This window comes from Homo sapiens, chromosome 22 (assembly GCF_000001405.40).
Source record: "Homo sapiens chromosome 22, GRCh38.p14 Primary Assembly".
Classification (NCBI taxonomy): domain Eukaryota; kingdom Metazoa; phylum Chordata; class Mammalia; order Primates; family Hominidae; genus Homo; species Homo sapiens.
Genome location: NC_000022.11, coordinates 44,258,829 through 44,276,410, shown reverse-complemented (window position 1 = coordinate 44,276,410; position 17,582 = coordinate 44,258,829). Strand labels below are relative to the sequence as shown.

General features: G+C 53.5%; 1 protein-coding gene across 2 annotated transcripts in view, besides 1 other annotated feature; it reads left to right on the top strand.

The window, feature by feature from the left end:
- SHISAL1 (shisa like 1) overlaps positions 1-17,582 on the top strand; it is an 88,050-nt gene that overhangs the window by 55,304 nt on the left and 15,164 nt on the right. The window lies entirely within an intron of this gene.
- Positions 12,829-13,344: an enhancer, noted in NCBI's record as "H3K27ac-H3K4me1 hESC enhancer chr22:44658947-44659462 (GRCh37/hg19 assembly coordinates)". NCBI's record gives its function as "activates a minimal SCP1, AML or CMV promoter by ChIP-STARR-seq in naive H9 embryonic stem cells {active_cell/tissue: H9 hESC(naive)}" and the evidence as "EXISTENCE:reporter gene assay evidence [ECO:0000049][PMID:30033119]".

Genomic DNA, 17,582 nt, shown 5'->3' with positions numbered 1-17,582 from the left:
TCACACTTAGGAATCAAAATGCTTTCCTTGGCCAACAATGTGATCTGACTCCACCGCACCCCACTGTCCCTCTGTCCTCATCTCCCCACACTGCCGCTTGCTGCAGCCACACCAGCCCCGCTGCTGTTCCCTCCACCCAGACCTCTCTCCTCCTGGATCCCAGCAGGGCTCACTCCTCCCTTCCACAGCCCCTGTTCAGAGTCACCCGATCAGAGGGGCCTTCCCTGGCCAAGGTTTACAAAATAGAAGCAGCCACCTCCCCCCGTCACTTTGTCCCTTTGTCCTCCTTCAGCTGCCTCATCATGTGCACCGCCGCCTGACATCACGTTTGCTTTGTGGCTTTGTGCCTGTCTCCTCCACTGGATGGAAAACGCGGGAGAGTTGGGATTGGTGTTTCTTGTGCTCAGCTGTGACCCCAGCACATAGAACAGGGCCTGACACATAGTAGGTGCTCAATACATCCATGTTGCATGAATGAATCTTCCTGCCCCGTGCCTTGTGCACAGAAGGCACCTAGACAGTGTCCAATCAATGAGCTGCATTATTACTGTAACAGTAGCTCCCATTTATTGAGGACTTGCTGAGCTAAGCAGCTGCAACAAATTGTGCCATTGAGCCTCCCCAGCTGCACTGCAGCTTGGCCATCCCGAGCCTCATTTTATGAAGGAGACACCAAGGCTCGGAGAGAGATTGCTGGGAACTGCACGGCAGCTGGGTCAGAATTGGAACCCAGGTCTGGTGGACTCCAAAGCCCACATCCTTGTACTGGGAAGAGCAACGTCTCCGCCTTTACTTCGCTTCCTGTAAGAGCTAACCCTGAGATAATGCCACCCCATGCCGGCTGCATAGCTGCCTTATGGTTGTGGGTTCTCTGTGCAAGGTAGGCCTCACCCATCCCCCAGGCAGGACCTCAGGGGTCCCCCAAAGCACCTGAGATCTGGCCCACAGGTGTCAGTGAAACAAGTCCTCTCTGGTCTGGGCCCAGGAGCTTCCCGAAACTCAGCCTCGCTTCTGATCCGCCGTCGGCCCCTTCGCGGGCTGCCAGGCAGGGGTTTAATTGAGGTGATGGTGCCAGCTTGGTGTGTGCTCGGTTGGGGTGCGTGGTTGGTTTTGTTTGCTTTCGGGGTTTGTCTTTTCCCCTGCACCATTTGTGAAGGTCTTTCCCAGCCCTGGGAATCTTTCCGGAGGTGGCAGGTGTACTCTTCTCTTCCACCTGGCAGCTCCCCACCTCCCTCTGCAAACCACTCCCCACCAGAGGAGGGCCCGGCAGAACAGAAGGTAAAAACGCAACACCCACGCTTAGTTTTAATACAAGTTTACGTTGAAAACCTAGCTGTACTCTAGCAAACCCGCAGAGGGGTGAGCTGCATAGTCTTCGAATCAGAGCTGAGTTCAGATCCTGTCTACGGGCCAGTGGGCAACTGCAGGTAAGCCAGTAGCTCCCCTGAGCCTCAGTGTTCCCGTCAGTACAATGGCCACAAGTGGCCTTAGGTTGTGGGACGATTGTTAGGACTGGAACAGAGCCCGGCCCATGGCAGATGCCTCAGGAAATGCTAACTGTGATTATTATTGCGACTATTATTTGAGGAGTAAAAAATAGGAAAAGAAAAGCCGCTCGGGATCCCGCTCACACACAGATAGGACTGCTTTGCGTTTTTCTCCCTTCTAATGCACACCTGCTTTTGTGTGTCTCTAATGATGATGTGCCTTCTGATTTTGTTCTCCTATTGAATCAGCGATGACCCTGCGATTTTACCCGACCTTTCTAAATACCATTTCAGCGGCCACCCAGTTGTCCAGATTCCATGTGTGGGATTCCCTACAGCGGGGCGTTTATACAACGTATAATTTTTTTTATTAATACGATGATAAATAACACCAATCCCAGCTCTCCTGGGGGCAGGAGGAGGAGACATACTCCAGAAAACAGCAGACACCTTTGTGAATTTGTGGCCTTTCCCTTTCTGGAATGATTTCCTCCAGATAGATGCCAGGCAGGGAGATTCCTGAGTCCAGGGGGTGGACAGTTTTATGGGTCTCGATTCCAGCGCCAGCCTCATTCCCAAAGGGCTGGTGCAGTGAGGCAGCTTTTGAGGGCACTGGATTTGGGGCACCCTCTCCAGCATGGGGTGCCCCTATTTCTATACAGTTTGCATTTCTTGAGATGGAGTCTCATTCTGTCGCCCAGGCTGGAGTGCAGTGGTGTGATCTTGGCTCACTGCAGCCTCCCTCCGCCTCCCAGGTTCAAGTGATTCTCCTGCCTTGGCTTCCCGAGTAGCTGGGATTACAGACACCCACCACCACGTCCGCCTAATTTTTGTATTTTTAGTGGAGACAGGGTGGGTGGGGGGGAGGGGGGGGCCGGGAGGTTCACTATGTCAGCCAGGCTGGTCTCGAACTCCTGACCTCAAGCAATCCACCTGCCTCAGCCTCCCAAAGTGCTAGAACTACAGGCGTGAGCCACCGCGCCCAGTCTGTTTGCATTTCTTTGATGGTTCTTGAGATAAAACACCTGTCCTTTCATTTGTTAATTAATTGTATTTCCTCTCTTGTGAGTTGCCCATTTGTTTTACTGCACCCCCAAGACAGTTGAGGTTTGAAGCCATTTTCATAAAGCAACATTTATCCCCCACGTTTCAGTTCCTTGGTGTTCTTGTCTGTATACATCCCTCATTCTGTTTACTTAATACATTTTTAATTGACTTGAAATCAAGTCATGTTTGTAGAAAACTCAGATTTGCTGTAAGCAATACCATAGCTAGTTTAAGAGTTGTATTTTTCCTAATTTGCATTAAAACGAACAAGTAAACATATCCATTATGAGATGGGGCTGCATCACACTGGCTCAAGAGAGTTTAGGGTGTAGGAATTTTGGGAGCCTGTTGTTAAACACAGCCACTATTGCAAATTAGATAAACATGCAATTAAATACATTGTATTAAACACAGAGATAATACATCCTCAAAAGTATCACTTCTTAGTTCTTTTGCTACATTTACCATCATCTGTGCCGGTGACGGTATTTGCATCTGTTGTGTCTGTATGGTGGAAATCTATCAGTGGTGGCTACTTGTATCTCTTCCTGTCTTTGATTCAGTGACAGCACCAGTATTTACGCTCGGGAAATTGACAGCACGTGCTACAAATCAGGGTTTTCTTCCCCTGGGGAACAGGTTGTTAAATGTTTACCAGCTTGCCCCTGTGCATAATGGTCCAAATGCTAGTATATTTACCTCCTCACATAATCTCACTTGCTCCATTGATCTGTGAACTTTACTGTGGGAAGCCAATGTGGTTTTTTTTGTTTTTTTTTTGGAGACAGAGTCTTGCTCTGTTGCCCAGGCTGGAGTGCAGTGGTGCGATCTCAGCTCACAGCAACCTCCGCCTCTGGGGTTCAAGCGATTCTCCTGATTAGCCTCCTGAGTAGCTGGGACTACAGGCATGTGCCACCATGCCCAGCTAACTTTCTGTATTTTTAGTAGAGACAGAGTTTTGCCACGTTGCCCAGGCTGGACTTGAACTCCTAAGCCCAGGCAATCCGCCTGCCTCGGCCTCCCAAAGTTCTGGGATTACAGCCAATGTGTTTCTTATGTGCACATGAAACAGCAATCTAGTGTTTCCAGGGACACCCACAGACAGGCACCCAGGGCAATGGTAGCCAGGACAAGGGGCAAGGTGGTCCTGGGAGGCCAATTCATCGGCCCTTTGCAGCTCCTGGCCCTTCCCCAGGCAAAGAAAGCAGGGCAGATGAGGAGGCAGAAAGACTGGTCTGTGCCACACATCTGGGTATTTAGTCCCCCCCAAGGAAACGTCTTGGGCATCCTCTTTCAAAGCCTCCAGCCCTGTCCCTTTCTGTCTCTGGAACAATCCGTGTTTGTTGCATGGATGCAGCCCAGACAAGATTAATTTACTCATTTATTCAGCAAGCATTTATTGAGGGCTGGCTGCAGGCCATGCCCCGTGTTAAGTGCTGGGAACAGAAAGATGAAAAAGGCCGGGCCCCTGCTCTTAAGGAACTCTGTCCAGTGATGTGTAGAAAATCCATTCTGACCCTGCCCTGGCTTTGCTTGGAAAAATCAATGTCTTCAGCCAAAGGGTGAATATTCCTTAGGGAAGGTTTTTGGAAGTCATTTTGAAGACACACTTCTGGAATGAACTAGACCTAGCACAGCTATCTGGAGTTCAGATGGAGATTGTGTGTCTCTGGGCCCAGGGTGCAGCTGTTGGGAGAAAGGCAACTGCTCCCATTAGGAGCTTGGCAACATGACACACCTGTTTCTGGGGACGTGCTACCTGCAGCAGGCATCTTATAGAAGCCCCCTCCTCAGAGGTGGCTCCTATAATCCTGCCCCGGGAGAGACCCACACGGCTTCACCCAGCCAGTTTGGAATCTTTAGTTTGGAATCTTAATTAAAATGCCCTAACGCAGCAACTACTGTGCAAACAAAGATGCCAGCTTGCGTGAGTAATTAACAAAAGGACACTTCCACAAAGGCCCAGGCGAATCTGGGGGCTCGTGAATACGCCTCCAGCTCAGAGGATGCTCCTTTATGTTGATTTGACAGGAATTCCACATAATCACCCTCCGGGCTGCAGCAAGAGTAATATGGAAGAAGCGAGATCACCCTACAGAGAGAAGTGTGGTTGGGCCGGTGGCAGTAATGTTCCCAAAAAACCAATTTAGTTCAGGGGCCCTTAATAGGCCCGGCTCCCAGATTAGGCTTTGCAGGGCAGAGCGAGTGGAGAAGGAATTTATCTCCATCGACATGGGTCAGGGAGGACCATGGATTCTACTTTATTTCCCCTGCTATTAAAACCCTGGTCTTAACTGCTAAAATATTTCCTTCCAAGAATAGATGCTTGTTGGCAAATGTCTCCCAACATGGGCATTTTGGCTCCCATCAGAATGATGGAAACTGAGTTTTGCCCATGGGCTGGAGGGTGCTCACTCCCTGTTCCTCCTAAGCACCCTCCAGCTTGGACTTCCTGTAGCTTCTAAGGTGCCCCAGAGGGTGCTGGGGGAGAGGGGCACTTGTCAACTGATTGCTTCAGCTGTGAGCTCTGGGACTGAGCCTGTCACACCCTGTGTGCTGGGGCCTATGGCTTCAGGAATAGCTGGGTGCTGCAGGTGGGGGCAGGCAGGAACAATGGGCTCTGGAGCTGCCTGGGCTGGGCTTGGACTGGACTCTGTGCTGCCCAGCTGTGTGTCCTTGGGCAAGTTGCATCACCTCTCTGGGCTGTCATGTGGATATAGGCACAGGGAGTAAATGAGCTCCACCTGGCAAGGGGATCATGGGGATGAAATCAAAGGGGATGTGGGGAGGGCCTAGCTCAGTACCCCACTCATAGGAAGAACCCCCAAAATCTATCCTCTTTTCTTGTCTCTATCCACTCTGAGTGGGGAAAGAGGTCCCTGCTAAGTGTGCCTCCTTCACCTACCCCTTGTTTGAGGTTGCTCAGGGCTTACTCACAGCTTCTCTAGCCAGACAAGAAGAAGGAGATACTGTGCTACGTGGTTCTGTTGCCAGCCTGGCTGCTCTGGGCTCGTTGTATCCCAGGATCTGCTTCCCGGTGAGCTGGCTTGAGCTGTCTGAGACTTGGGAGGTGGAAGCAGCCGTCAGTGGTGCTGGTGGTCTCACTGGGCAGAGCCAGGGAAGCACAGCTGCAGGGGTGCACCAGGGCCCCCAGCGTCCTTGGGTTTTCCGTCTGTGTCCGGCTCTTCTTTCCGACCATCCACCCTAGGCTGGCAGATCCCTGTGACCCTCTCTGTGGTCTCACAGAGGCAGGATGGGCCTGGCTTCAGCCTCCATGCGAGCTGGCCCTGATGCCTCCCTGCCCGGCACTGCTGAGTGTCCCTTCTGTAAGCCTCCAAGGTCCCCCTCTGGACCTTCACTGCCCAGCTCCTCCCACAAGTGTGGAAACTCAAGTCCCTATCATAAATGCCCTATTCCATGACAGCCATGGCTGCTGTGTCCCTGCCTGGACTCTGACCAATACTGTTGTCACTTATGTTTCTAAGGGACACGTCCTTGTCACCCCACAGGGCCTTGAGCCCAGATGTGTCCCCTGATCAATGTGTACACTTACTGGAGTGCCGCTTACCTCCTCCCCAAAGCCATGAGTCAGTCTGTGGGACATCTCAACGTTGACGGCATCCAAGAGGGAGGGAGATTCGGGACTCAAGTCTGCAGGGTTGTCGAGATAGGAGAGAGTGGTTCCATTCGTTTAAGGGAAATATGGAGCCAGCGAAGTGTGGAGACTTCGTCAGGTGGGGTTTTGGCGAGAGGCCACTGCCACGCAGCTGACAGCAGCCAACCAGCAGGAATGGAGGCAGGGAGGCCCAGGGGGAGGCTATCACTGTGCCCGAGGCAGTGGGGGGACACAAAGCAGTATTTTGGAGGTAGTGCAGGCAGGACCCACAAAGGAATTGGATGTTGGAGGGGCACACTGAGGACAAGGACAACTCAGAGGTCTGACCCAAGAGACACGTGGTGTTGCTGCTGACCAGGAAGGACAGTGCTGGAGGGGCGGAGCTGGGCACAGGGTGGTGCATCGTTACCACCATGGGACGCCAGCACCAGGGGAGAGGCGGAGAGGGCAGAGGTGGGTCCTGAGGGGCTAGGACAGGTAAGAAGTGAGCAGGAGTCTGTGTGGCATGGTGTGTGCATTGTGTGATGTCTGTGTGGCATGGGTGTGTGTATGTGTTGTGAGTGTGTGGCTTGGTGTGTGTATATTGTGTGGGTCTATGTGACATTGTGTGTGTGTTGTTTGTGGCATGTGTGTGTATATTGTGTGGGTCTGTGTGGCGTGTGTGTGTGTATGGTGTGGTATCTGGCATGGTGTAGTGTGTGTAGTGTTGTATCTGTGGCATGGTGTGTGTGTATATTGTGTGGGTCTGCAGCATGGTGTGGCATGGAGTGTGTGTGTGTGTGTGTGCGCGTGTTGTGGGCGTCTGTGTGGCATGGTGTGTGTGTGTCTTCTGTCTGTGGCATGGTGTGTGTGTGTATTGTGTGGGTGTCTGTGTGTCATGGTGTGTGTGCATATGTACTCTGCATCTGTGTGACATGGTGTGTGTATGTGTATATTGTGGGTGTCTGTGCAGTATGGTGTGTGGCATGGGGTGTGTGTATGTGTGTTGTGGGTGTCTGTGTGGCGTGTGTGTATATATTGTGAGGGTCTGTGTGGCGTGGTGTGTGTGTATATATTGTGAGGGTCTGTATGGCATATGTATGTGATATTGTGTGGATCTGTGTGGCATGGTATGTGTGTTTATGTGTATTGTGGGTGTCTGTGTGGCATGCTGTGCGTGTGTGTATTGTGGATGTTTACTGTCCCGGGCAGTAGAAAGGACGTCGGGGAAGCAGCCCCAGCATCAGGGACAGGCCAGGAGTGCAGAATGCATGGAAGCTGGTCAGGTCGGAGCCCGGGATGAAGGAAGCACAGAGATGCAAGGGTGCCAGGGCCCATGGAACCAAGAGCCGATGATCAAGGCCACAGTGCACACAGCCCTGGAGGCAAAGGACATATTCATTTCACAAGGATTAAAAAGCATGGGCCAAGGCTGGGCCCCAGGCCAGGACTGGGGATACAGAGTGGATCAGTCCCCATCCCTGCCCCCAGGTGCTTACCCACACCCATTCACCTCACAGGTTTCCCCACCCCAGCCCCTTGGCGAGCTCCTCCTCATTCCTCAAAACGTCGCTGAGGTCACGCTCCTTCCCGAGGCCTCTCCCCATCCTCTAAAACACCCTCTCCCTGCTGCCCACTTGCAGCACAGTCAGAGAGCTCCGTGGCCTGTTTCCACTGGACTGAGTCTTCTGGGGGGTGCTGGTGCAGAGCAGAACCCTGGGCTGGGAGTCCCGGCACCTCGTTCCACTCCCTCACCCACAGCCTCGCTGTTTAACCTCAGGCAGGCCGTGTCCCTCCTCAGCCTCACTTTCCCCTTGTGTAAAATGAGGGAAGGGACTGCGCCTTCTAAGTCATCTTTCAGCTTAAAACCTCTTTGACCTTCTATCTGGCTAATGGAGGTGCTGACCAGGGGCAAGAAGGGATTTGAAAAACGCTTTGAAAAATTCATAGCAGGAGGCAAAGGAGAAAGAGTCTTTATTTTCGTAGAGCGGGAGGCAGGAGGAGTTATGGACAGAGGCTGTCGATGAAAAGGACAGCATCTCAGAGCACTTTGTGGCATTTAATGTCTAATGCCTCCTCCCATTAAAGCAGTGGCATCAAATATTTACCAAAGCAGCATTAAAAATTAACCTTTACCATGGGGATGTATAAAGGCCCTAAGTTCCCTGAGAAGTGACCGAACATCAGGAGGGTAAAGTGACAGGAAGGAAGGCTACAAGCGGGTTGTGAATAATGGAAGCCCCCAAAGGTCCCCCAACACAGCTCCCTGTTGACCCCACTCCCAAAGCCAGGGCAGCCTCCGGCCGTGTCTCTGCAGAGGCTCCCAGCCCTTCGGAGACTCCCAGAGGGCCTGCAGGATAAGGACAGGCCCTCAGCTGGGCATCCACAGCCTTCCATGGCCTGGCCCTGCCTCTCTGGGCAGCTGGGATCTGTAGGATGGAAAGGAATGAGTCTGTCGGAGTTGGAAGAGACCAGGGGAGGAAGTGGGGAGTGGTCCGGGCACTGGAAATAGCACGTGCAGAGGCACTGAGGCAGAGACAGCTGCACATCAATCCATCAGAAGAGCAGCCAGGTGGCATGAGTGTGGGGGAGGAAGGAAGCGCAGGAGGGGACAGGTGGGAGATGCAGGTAGGTCTGACTGTGCAGGGCCATGGTAAGATGTGGGCTTCTCGGTCCAGGGACAGGGGTGCCCTCGAGGAGAGTGACAGGACGCATTTGCCTTTGGGAAGGCAGCTGGGGGTCTACCAGAGAGGCTGCCGCTCTCCCACGAGCTGCAGCCATGTCTGTGGCTTGGCTGAGGGTGGTGGTGGGGAGGGGCCGGCACCAGGGAGTGGAGTCCGTGAGATTGGCCAGGGCCTGGGGTGGGGGCTGAGAAGGAGGTGGGGGTCCAAGGAGGATGTCTGGGAACCTGGGCTGAGTAGCCTGGGAGATTTTCCAAGATGGGGACCTTGGGGCGGCTGTGGCTTTGGTCTCAGCAGCATGGAGTGTTTTGAGTTTGAGATGCCCCGAGAGACCACTGCAATGGGCCTGGGGAGGAGGCGCTCCCACCTGTGGCAGGAAGAACTCCAGGGCAAATGGGGTCTGGAAGCCGCGAGAGGATCAGGACAGCTGAGGGGCATGGGACCTGGCCTCGGATGTGGGCTGCGTGCCCTGCCCTCTGCCTGTCGCTCCTGCGATGTCCCCTGCCTGCAGTGCCCACGTCCCCATCCCAGGTGCAATCCGTGGGCTCCAACAACATACCAGGCACCGTCCTGTCTGCCAGAAGCCGCTGGGCATAGCTGGCACCAAATAGCTTTGTCATCCCCACCCCACTGCCTGCCTTTTACATAGCTGGGATGCCCGCCAGCTTCTTTCTGAAGCAAAGAAAGGTTCCATGTTTCATTATTTAGATTATGTGGCGCCCTATAAAGCACAAAATAATTCTCATCGCCCTCAAGCAGGATCTTCATTTTGGTTTTTCCTGGAGACCAGGGGAGCTGACGGGCGTGGAGCTGAGTGGGGTATGAGGGAGTTTGCAGAGCACGGCCATTTCCCCTGTGCACCACCTCGCCAGTGGCGTTTTTCTTGCCATTTTGTCAGAAACTCAGGCTCAGAGAGGCCACAGCATGTGTCCAAAGTCAAACAGCCAGGGAGAGGCTCTCCCAGAGCACCTACAATGTGCCCTGGCCCCCCAACACACACACCAGAGCCTCCAACACACACATACACACCAGAGCCCTCCAACACACACACACACACACACACACACACACATACCCCAAAGCCCCCAACACACACATACACCAGAGCCCCCAACAGACACACACACAGCCCAACACACACACAGCCCCACACACACAACCCCCCAACACACACACAGCCCCCCAACAAACAACAAGCCCTCCGACAAACACACACAAACACACCCCACTGCCTCGTCCACTCCCCATCCCCATCCATCTAGGTGGCCCATCAAGATATTTTGCTGAAGACAAAATAAAAATTCCCTTAAGCATCTCCGCAGCCCTGCTTTGAATATGTTTTCTCCCGACTCAATAGGATATACATTTCTTGAGTGCTTTCTGTGTGCCAAGCGTTGTTACATGTACTGTCTCATGTCCTCACATGTAGCAGATGAGTAAACTGAGGTGGGTGGAGATGGTGACTTGGAGCTAAGGCTGAGTGAAGACTGGTACATCCTGGGGTCCTCTCTGCCAGGTGCACACTGAATGGCAAGGCTGGGTCTGAGCCCTCACTTGCCTCCCAGCAACTCTCCCCTGAAGCAGAGAAGGGGATGAAGCTGTGATGCAGAGAAGCCTGATCCAGACACCAGCTCACTCTGGGGGAACCCACACATCCCTGAAGGATGGGACTGGTGCCAGGGAACCCCCAGAGGCTTACTGGCACCAGTAGGAAGAGGAAGCAGGAGGCAGAGGGAAGACCTTCCCAGGCAGCCTGGCTCTACAGCAGATTTGCTGGCCTCAGTAAGCAGGGAGCTCCCCATCGCTGGGGTGTGCAAGCTGAGGTCAGAGGCTCATTCCCTGAGGATAGAGTAGAGGGATGTCCAGATGCACAATCTGCAAGATCCTCCCTCTCCCAGAATCTCTAGCTCTGCTGTGAAGCCTTGTATTAGCTAGTTAGTGCTGTGTAACAAGTTACCCCACAAGTCAGCAGCTTAAAACATTTATTTAACCCTTTCTGTGAGTCAGAAAGGTGTGAGTCAGGGTGTGGCTTCACTAGGTCTCCTGGCTTGGAGTCTCCTGGCTTGGGGGTCTCTCAGGAGGCTGCAATCAAAGCATTGGCTGAGACTGGTTATCTCAAGGCTGTGCTGGAGAGGATACACCTCTCAGCTCACTCAGGTGGCTGGTAGCGGGTTCAGGTGTTGGCTGGGGGTGTCAGTTGCTCACCAGGTGGGCCTCTCCACAGGGTAGCTCATGGCATGACAGCTGACTGCCCAAAAAGAGGGCTCTGGGAGAGAGAGTTCAAGGTGCAGAGCCCGGTGGAACCCACAGTCTTTTTGGAGCCTAACCTTGGAAGGGACATCCCATCCCTGTCACTTCTACCCATTTGTTACAAGCGAGCCACTTGCCTCCGTCCCCATCCTTTGGTCTCCCTTGGTACCAAAGGGGAGGGTGTGAGTAGCTGAAGGTAGATTCTTTGGAGGCCATCTTAGGGCTGCGTACCACAGGCCTCAATGTAGAATCAGAGTAGGGGGCTGTGAGCAGCCGCATTTTACAGATGGGGGGACTGAGAGCAGAAGGGAAAAGTCAACACTCTGGTGTGTGTGTGTTGGGGTCTCTGTTGTGTGTGTGTTAAGGGATCTGGTTGTGTTTTGGGGGCTCTGGTGTGTGTTGGGGACGTTGTCCAAGGTCACGTGGCTTGTGAATTGCTGGGGGCTCTGGTGTATGTGTTGGGGACCTCGCCCAAGATCACGTGGCTTGTGAATTGCTGGGGCCTCTGGTGTGTGTGTTGGGGACCTCGTCCAAGGTCACATGGCTTGTGAATTGCTGGGGGCTGTGGTGTGTGTGTTGGGGACCTCGTCCAAGATCACACGGCTTGTGAATTGCTGGGGCTCTTGTGTGTGTGTTGGGGACCTCACCCAAGGTCACACAGCTTGTGAACTGCTGGGTCCAATTCAGGCTGGGGCCTGTAGGACTCTGGTTAAACATCTTGGGCCACATTAGAGGCCTCCCATGCCATGCCCGAGGTGCCCCATGGACTGACATCCCCTGAGAGTGACTACATCCGTCAGGACACCCCACCTGTGCCCCAAACCCCTGCACATTGGACCCTGCAAGGAGGACAGGTTTGCAGGGGATGGGAAGGTATGTCCAGCCACCAGAGCTCACACCACACCTGCTCTCTGTCATTTATTCAGCAAACTCTCCCATAAAGCTCTCCCATATGCCAGGCTCTGCACTGGGCTTGGAGAGAGGCTGCCAAAAGGAACCACCATTGAGAAGATCTGGTCCCCAGCAGGCCTCGGGTCTCTCTTCAGCTCCTCCCTGGGCAGCATGGCTCTGAGCCTCACTTTACGCAACTGTAAAATGGAGTCATCTACTCTGCTTTCCTCCCAGTGAAGGTGCAAGAACTGGGCAATCCCATGGGTCCACCAGGGCTTTGACAAGGCAGGTGCTGGGGCAGAGCACTCTGGGCCAGGAAGCAAAAGATGAAGGTTCCCATCTTGGCCCCAGCCTGGATCTGTGCCCTTTGCATTGTGTGGACGCACCACACTGTGTTTCTCCATCACCTTTTGAGGAAACTTGGGTTGTTTCCACCTTCCGGCCGTCATCAGTAAAGCTGCTATGAACCTTCACATCCACGTCTCTTGGTGAAGTGAATGCACACATCTCTCTTGGGTATTGTGTGAGTGTCCCGTAGCTGCTGTAATAAACTATCACAAATGCAGTAGCTTAAAGCAACACGGATTTAGTCTTGTACAGATCCAGAGGACAGCAGTTGGAAAGGAGACTCATGAACACTTCATGTCAAGGCATCAGCAGCACGGGGCCCTGCTGGAGGCCACGGGGGTGAGTCTGTTTCCTTGTCTGCTCCAGTTCCCAGAGGTGCCCACATTCCTCGGCTTGTGGCCCCTTCCAGATGCAAGGACATCTCTCCAACCTCTGCTCCCATGGCCACATCCCCTCCACTGACTCTGAGCCTGCTGCCTTCCTCACTTAGGACCCTGTGATGGCATCAGGCCCAGCCAGTTAATCTAGGCTCATCTCTCTCTCCCAAAACCCTCAACTCCATCGCGTCAGCAGAGTCTCTTTCTCCTTGTTGAGGCAGTGTTCCTTGGGATGGCCATCTTGCCCCAGATAGGTTCCTTGATGTCCCTGTACTGTCTGCAGGGACACATTTACAAAGTAGGATTAATAGCATCTCCCCCTTTCAGGTCCCTGTGAGAATCCCTTAGAAAAATATGTGAAGGCGGCCGGGTGCAGTGGCTCACGCCTGTAATCCCAGCACTTTGGGAGGCCAAGGTGGGCAGATCACCTGAGGTCAGGAGTTCGAGACCAGCCTAGCCAACATGGCAAAACCCCATCTCTACTAAAAATACAAGAACTAACTGGGCGTGGTGGTGGGTGCCTGTAATCCTAACTACTCGGGAGGCTGAGGCAGGAGAATCGCTGGAACCCGGGTGGCGGAGGTTGCAGTGAGCCAAGATTGCGCTATTGCCTGGGCGACACAGACTCCATCTCCAAAAAAAAAAAAAAAAAAAAGAAAGAAAGAAAAAAATACGTGAAGGCTCCCAGCCCCACACCCCACATGCATACCGTCAGCACCAACTAACTAACAGAAGCTGTTGCTGCTGCTGGGGAACACATTGTCTCCAGTTCACCTGGAATGAGGCGTGTTGTGCCTCATGACTCCTCTGCTTTCGTCTGCGGGAAGGGTTATTGTCACAGATGTTCCACATTCTGGAAGCTTTCATTGTTATTCAAATTACCAGGTGCTCTGTTATCTTCCCACTTAGGTTGCAGGCACCAGCCCACCAGGCCTGCCAGCTGCAGACCCTCCTCACCCCGTGGGCCCTGCTCCTGGTTCCAGGCTCAGCTCCTCTCTCGCCAGGGCCACTAGGGCCAGCAGGGCAGCCTGCTACTCCCCAGCCTGCCCAGGCCACTGCCCCAGACGAGAGGGGCTGGCCGTGTGGCCCTGCGGTCAGCAGCACAGGCCAAGCTCCACTGCTAGCTAGATATGCAGTTCTGGGCTAGTGACATTGTCTCTCTGAGCCTCATTTTCCTCATCAGCAAGTTGCAGGGACTAGTGGTCCCCACCCCTGAGGCTGCTGAGAGAACTGAGGCTCCACACGCATGGGAGGTGCTTGGCACAGTGCCCGGCACAGAAGAGATAATCAGTACCCTGCAGCCCTAATCTTGCTGCTATGAGAATTAGGCATGATCTTCCATGTCGGCTCCCCACAACTTTGGGATCAGGTCCAGACACCTTCTCCTGGCAGATGAAGGCTTTGTGGCTGCCGCCTCTGCAGACTCACCCCTGCCAGGAGCATCTTGTGCCATGACAGCCATGCTCCTTGTGATCCTCTGAATGACCTTGGCTGAGGCTGTTCCGTCCGCCTGGAGTGCCCTCCCTGTCGTCCCAACAAGCCTTGTCCAGGGCCCAGCTCTGTGGCTGCTCCCAAGAACTTTTCCCCCAATTCCCACCCTGGCCAGGACCCCAAGACTGCCAGACACTCGCCGCTGACACAGTGTGGGTCTGCTGCTCTTGTTTCAGGGTCCTGGTGTGGCTCCCCTACCCGCTTCGAGCCCTCAAGGGCAGGGCCCACACCTGACTCAGTTCTGAGCCCCCAGCCCAGGCCCTGGCCGAAGGTGCTATAGTTCCAGCTTATGGAAGGCCTAGTGTGAGGGGCCACAAGTTGCCACTGAGTGAGGGGAGCACTGGTGGGCCTGAGCCTGGGGTCCACAGAACTGGCCATGAGGGGCAAGGTGACCTGCAGAGTGCCTAGGAGGACACATGACCCCCGCATCAGGGCAGGCGAGTGCTCTCCGTGGCAGGAGTCAGTGGCCACACAGGAACAGTTTCCTGCACTCACGGGTATGTGACCAAGGCGTGTTTGCCGTGAGAGCAGAACAAGAGTTGACATTTGCCAAAGATTCCTTCCAGAAGGCTGTGCAATGAGGAAGCATTCCCGGGGCTACTGTGGGCTGATGAGCTGGGCTGTGTCCACAGGAGCGATAGCCCCACTGGGCAGCAGTGAGGATGGCCTAGAGTGGTATAAGGCCCAGAGAGGTTAATGACTCACCCAGGGTCACACAGCTTCTGAGGGGCAGAGCCGGGACCTGAACCCGGGCTTGTCTGACATTGAGGCCATGGTCATCTCTACCATGGGACTCTGCAGTGCTGTGTGGTACAGGGTGTTACAAAAGGCCTGTGGGAGTCAGACAAGCTGCACAGAAGGGGCGCCCAGTGAGTGAGGTCTTGAAGGATGTGTAGGAGTTTTCTAGGTGGAGATAGGGGAGGGTATTCCCAGTAGTGTGAAGAGCACACTGGGCTTTCTGGAAAGAGAGTACTTTGGAGTGGAGACCACAAAACCGAAAGTAACAGTTCTGTTGTTAAGAGGCCCTGAGGCCCAGCTAAGGCGTCAAAACTTTACCCTCGAAGAAGCTATAAGTAGAATTTTTTTTTTTTAAAAGTCATTGATTTTGAAATATTTCATTTTCTGCAAGAGAATCCATATAGTGTATATATATATATATATATATAAAGTAATGAAGCAAACACCACATTCTCACCACTGGCACAAGAAATAGAGCTGCGTCAATGCCATAGAGGCCCTCAGCATGCCCCAGTGGCACCCCTTCCCTCCCGGGTCCACCAGCCTGAATTTTGTGCTTGTCATCCCCAAACAGAGATGTATCCCCAGGGAGTGACCGAAGCCACATTGCCCTCCAGGGAAACCACTCTGGGGAGTGCAAAGACTGCCATGCAGGGGCAACCATGGGGAGGCCTCGGCCAAAGTCAGGAGTGACGCTGCCCCCACCCCAGAATGGACAACCTCTTTTCCATGTCAGCCTGCAGCAGCAAAAAGGAGTGAGGAGGGGCATGGCTGCTGCCACCCTTATCCCTGAAGGGCCACCACGGGCCAAGAAGGCCAGACTGTGGCCTACAGGCAAGCGTTTGGCTCTGCATTTTAAGTTTTCCAGGGAACTGAGCAGCTTAAAAGGGAATGGCTTGTAAAGGAGTGAGCTTACCATTCCCGGGGAAACCAAGCAAAGGCTTCGACCATCACCTGGACCTCCTCTCCAAGCCTCCTCTGATTTTCTGTCCCTCTTCCCTCAGCCCCTGGGCTCCCTCTGTCCCAACCTTTACCAGCCTAATGGCACTGTCCGCACCTGCAGACAGCGTCTCCAAGGCCAGAGACTGAATTGTCACCAGGTCCTGGGCTGAGAATGAGTCCATGTCACATTCTTCCCTTCCTGTGCAGCACGGAGGTTCGAGATGGGCTCTCAAATCAGGCCGTAACCGAACACAAGTCCAGCCTCTTGCAGAATCCAATGAACAGAACGAGGTCTAGTAGAAAGAAAGTGACTTTATTCCAGAGCTTGGTTAAGAGGAAACAGTACAGGCTCCTGACTTAAGGGAATCACTTCAGCTTTCGAGGAGGAAAGTGGGGTCTTTAAAGGGGAACTTGGTGTGAAAGGCATGCAGGGGAGGGAGTGAGGAGGTGCAGGGTCCACCTGACTTGCTTGTATGTCTTCTCAGTCGGGTAGTCTGGAGGGCGCCGTGGTGGACAGAGCTAGGCTGTAAACTCACCGTTGTCTTGAAGTAATCTCCTGGTGGGGGAGAATCCCAGAGGGTGCCTGGTTTGGTTCAACATTTTGTCCTGAGAATTTCTAAACAAATCGACCTGTAGTTAGATATGCTTGCAGTGCAGGGAGCGCCTGGTGGAGAGGAGGTAAACGTTATAATTGCACTCCTGAAGAGCTAAGAGGTGAACACACAGGGAAAAAGAAGAAAGGTAAAGATAAGTTCTAGGAAAATTGGACGCTCGATTGCAAGCCCCCCTAAGCTGAAATTCTGACATTGTGGTCCAGCCACCACAAAGATCAGCAGAACCTTGGGTCATCTCCTCTATTCTGGCGCATATACTTCTATTAATGCAACCCAAAGTCCTTTTCCTTCTCAGCTCCCCTTGGCATGTGAGAATGTCTGCCCATCCCCACATGCAGCCATGCCATGCACAAGCCCAGGGGCAGGAAGTGCTTCTCGGAACCCATTTGTGCAACCGAGGGCTCCACCCAGGAAGCAGCCCCCATCCTGCTGTTTCCCAGCTCCCCTGGGCTTTGGCTGTTTCTTTTTTTTTTTTTAATAATTTTTATTTTATTTTTATTCTATTCTATTTTTAGACAGAGTCTTGCACTGTCGCCCGAGCTGGAGTGCAGTGGCGCGATATCGGCTCACTGCAACCTCCGCCTCCCAGGTTTAAGTGATTCTCCTGCCTCAGCCTCCTGAGTAGCTGGGATTACAGGTGTGTGCCACTGCACCCAGCTAATTTTTTGTATTTTTAGTAGACGGGGTTTCACCATGTTTGAGCTGGTCTCAAACTCCTGACCTCGTGATCCGCCCGCCTCGGCCTCCCAAAGTGCTGGGATTACAGGCATGAGCCACCGCACCTGGCCCGCTTCTGGCCGTTTCTACCATGTGGCCACCCTGTTGCAAATTTCCACCTAAGAACATAGCAGGGCGGGTGAGGATGCACTTCCCTTTTTCACGAGCCTTGTGTGATGTTCTCAGGTTTTCAGCCTCATGGTCGAGTCAGCCAGGCTTCATTCTGGTTTCCAACCCTTGGGTCCAGAATGTTGAGCTGGTCACACCTTCTGGTCCATAGCTCCCACATCAGTGGCTGTGATGGGCCCCTTACTGTACCTGCCCCCTGACCCCCCAACCCTCCACGCCTACTCCATCCACCCCACTCTTACATGTTAATTGAGTGTGATGCTCAAATTATGCAC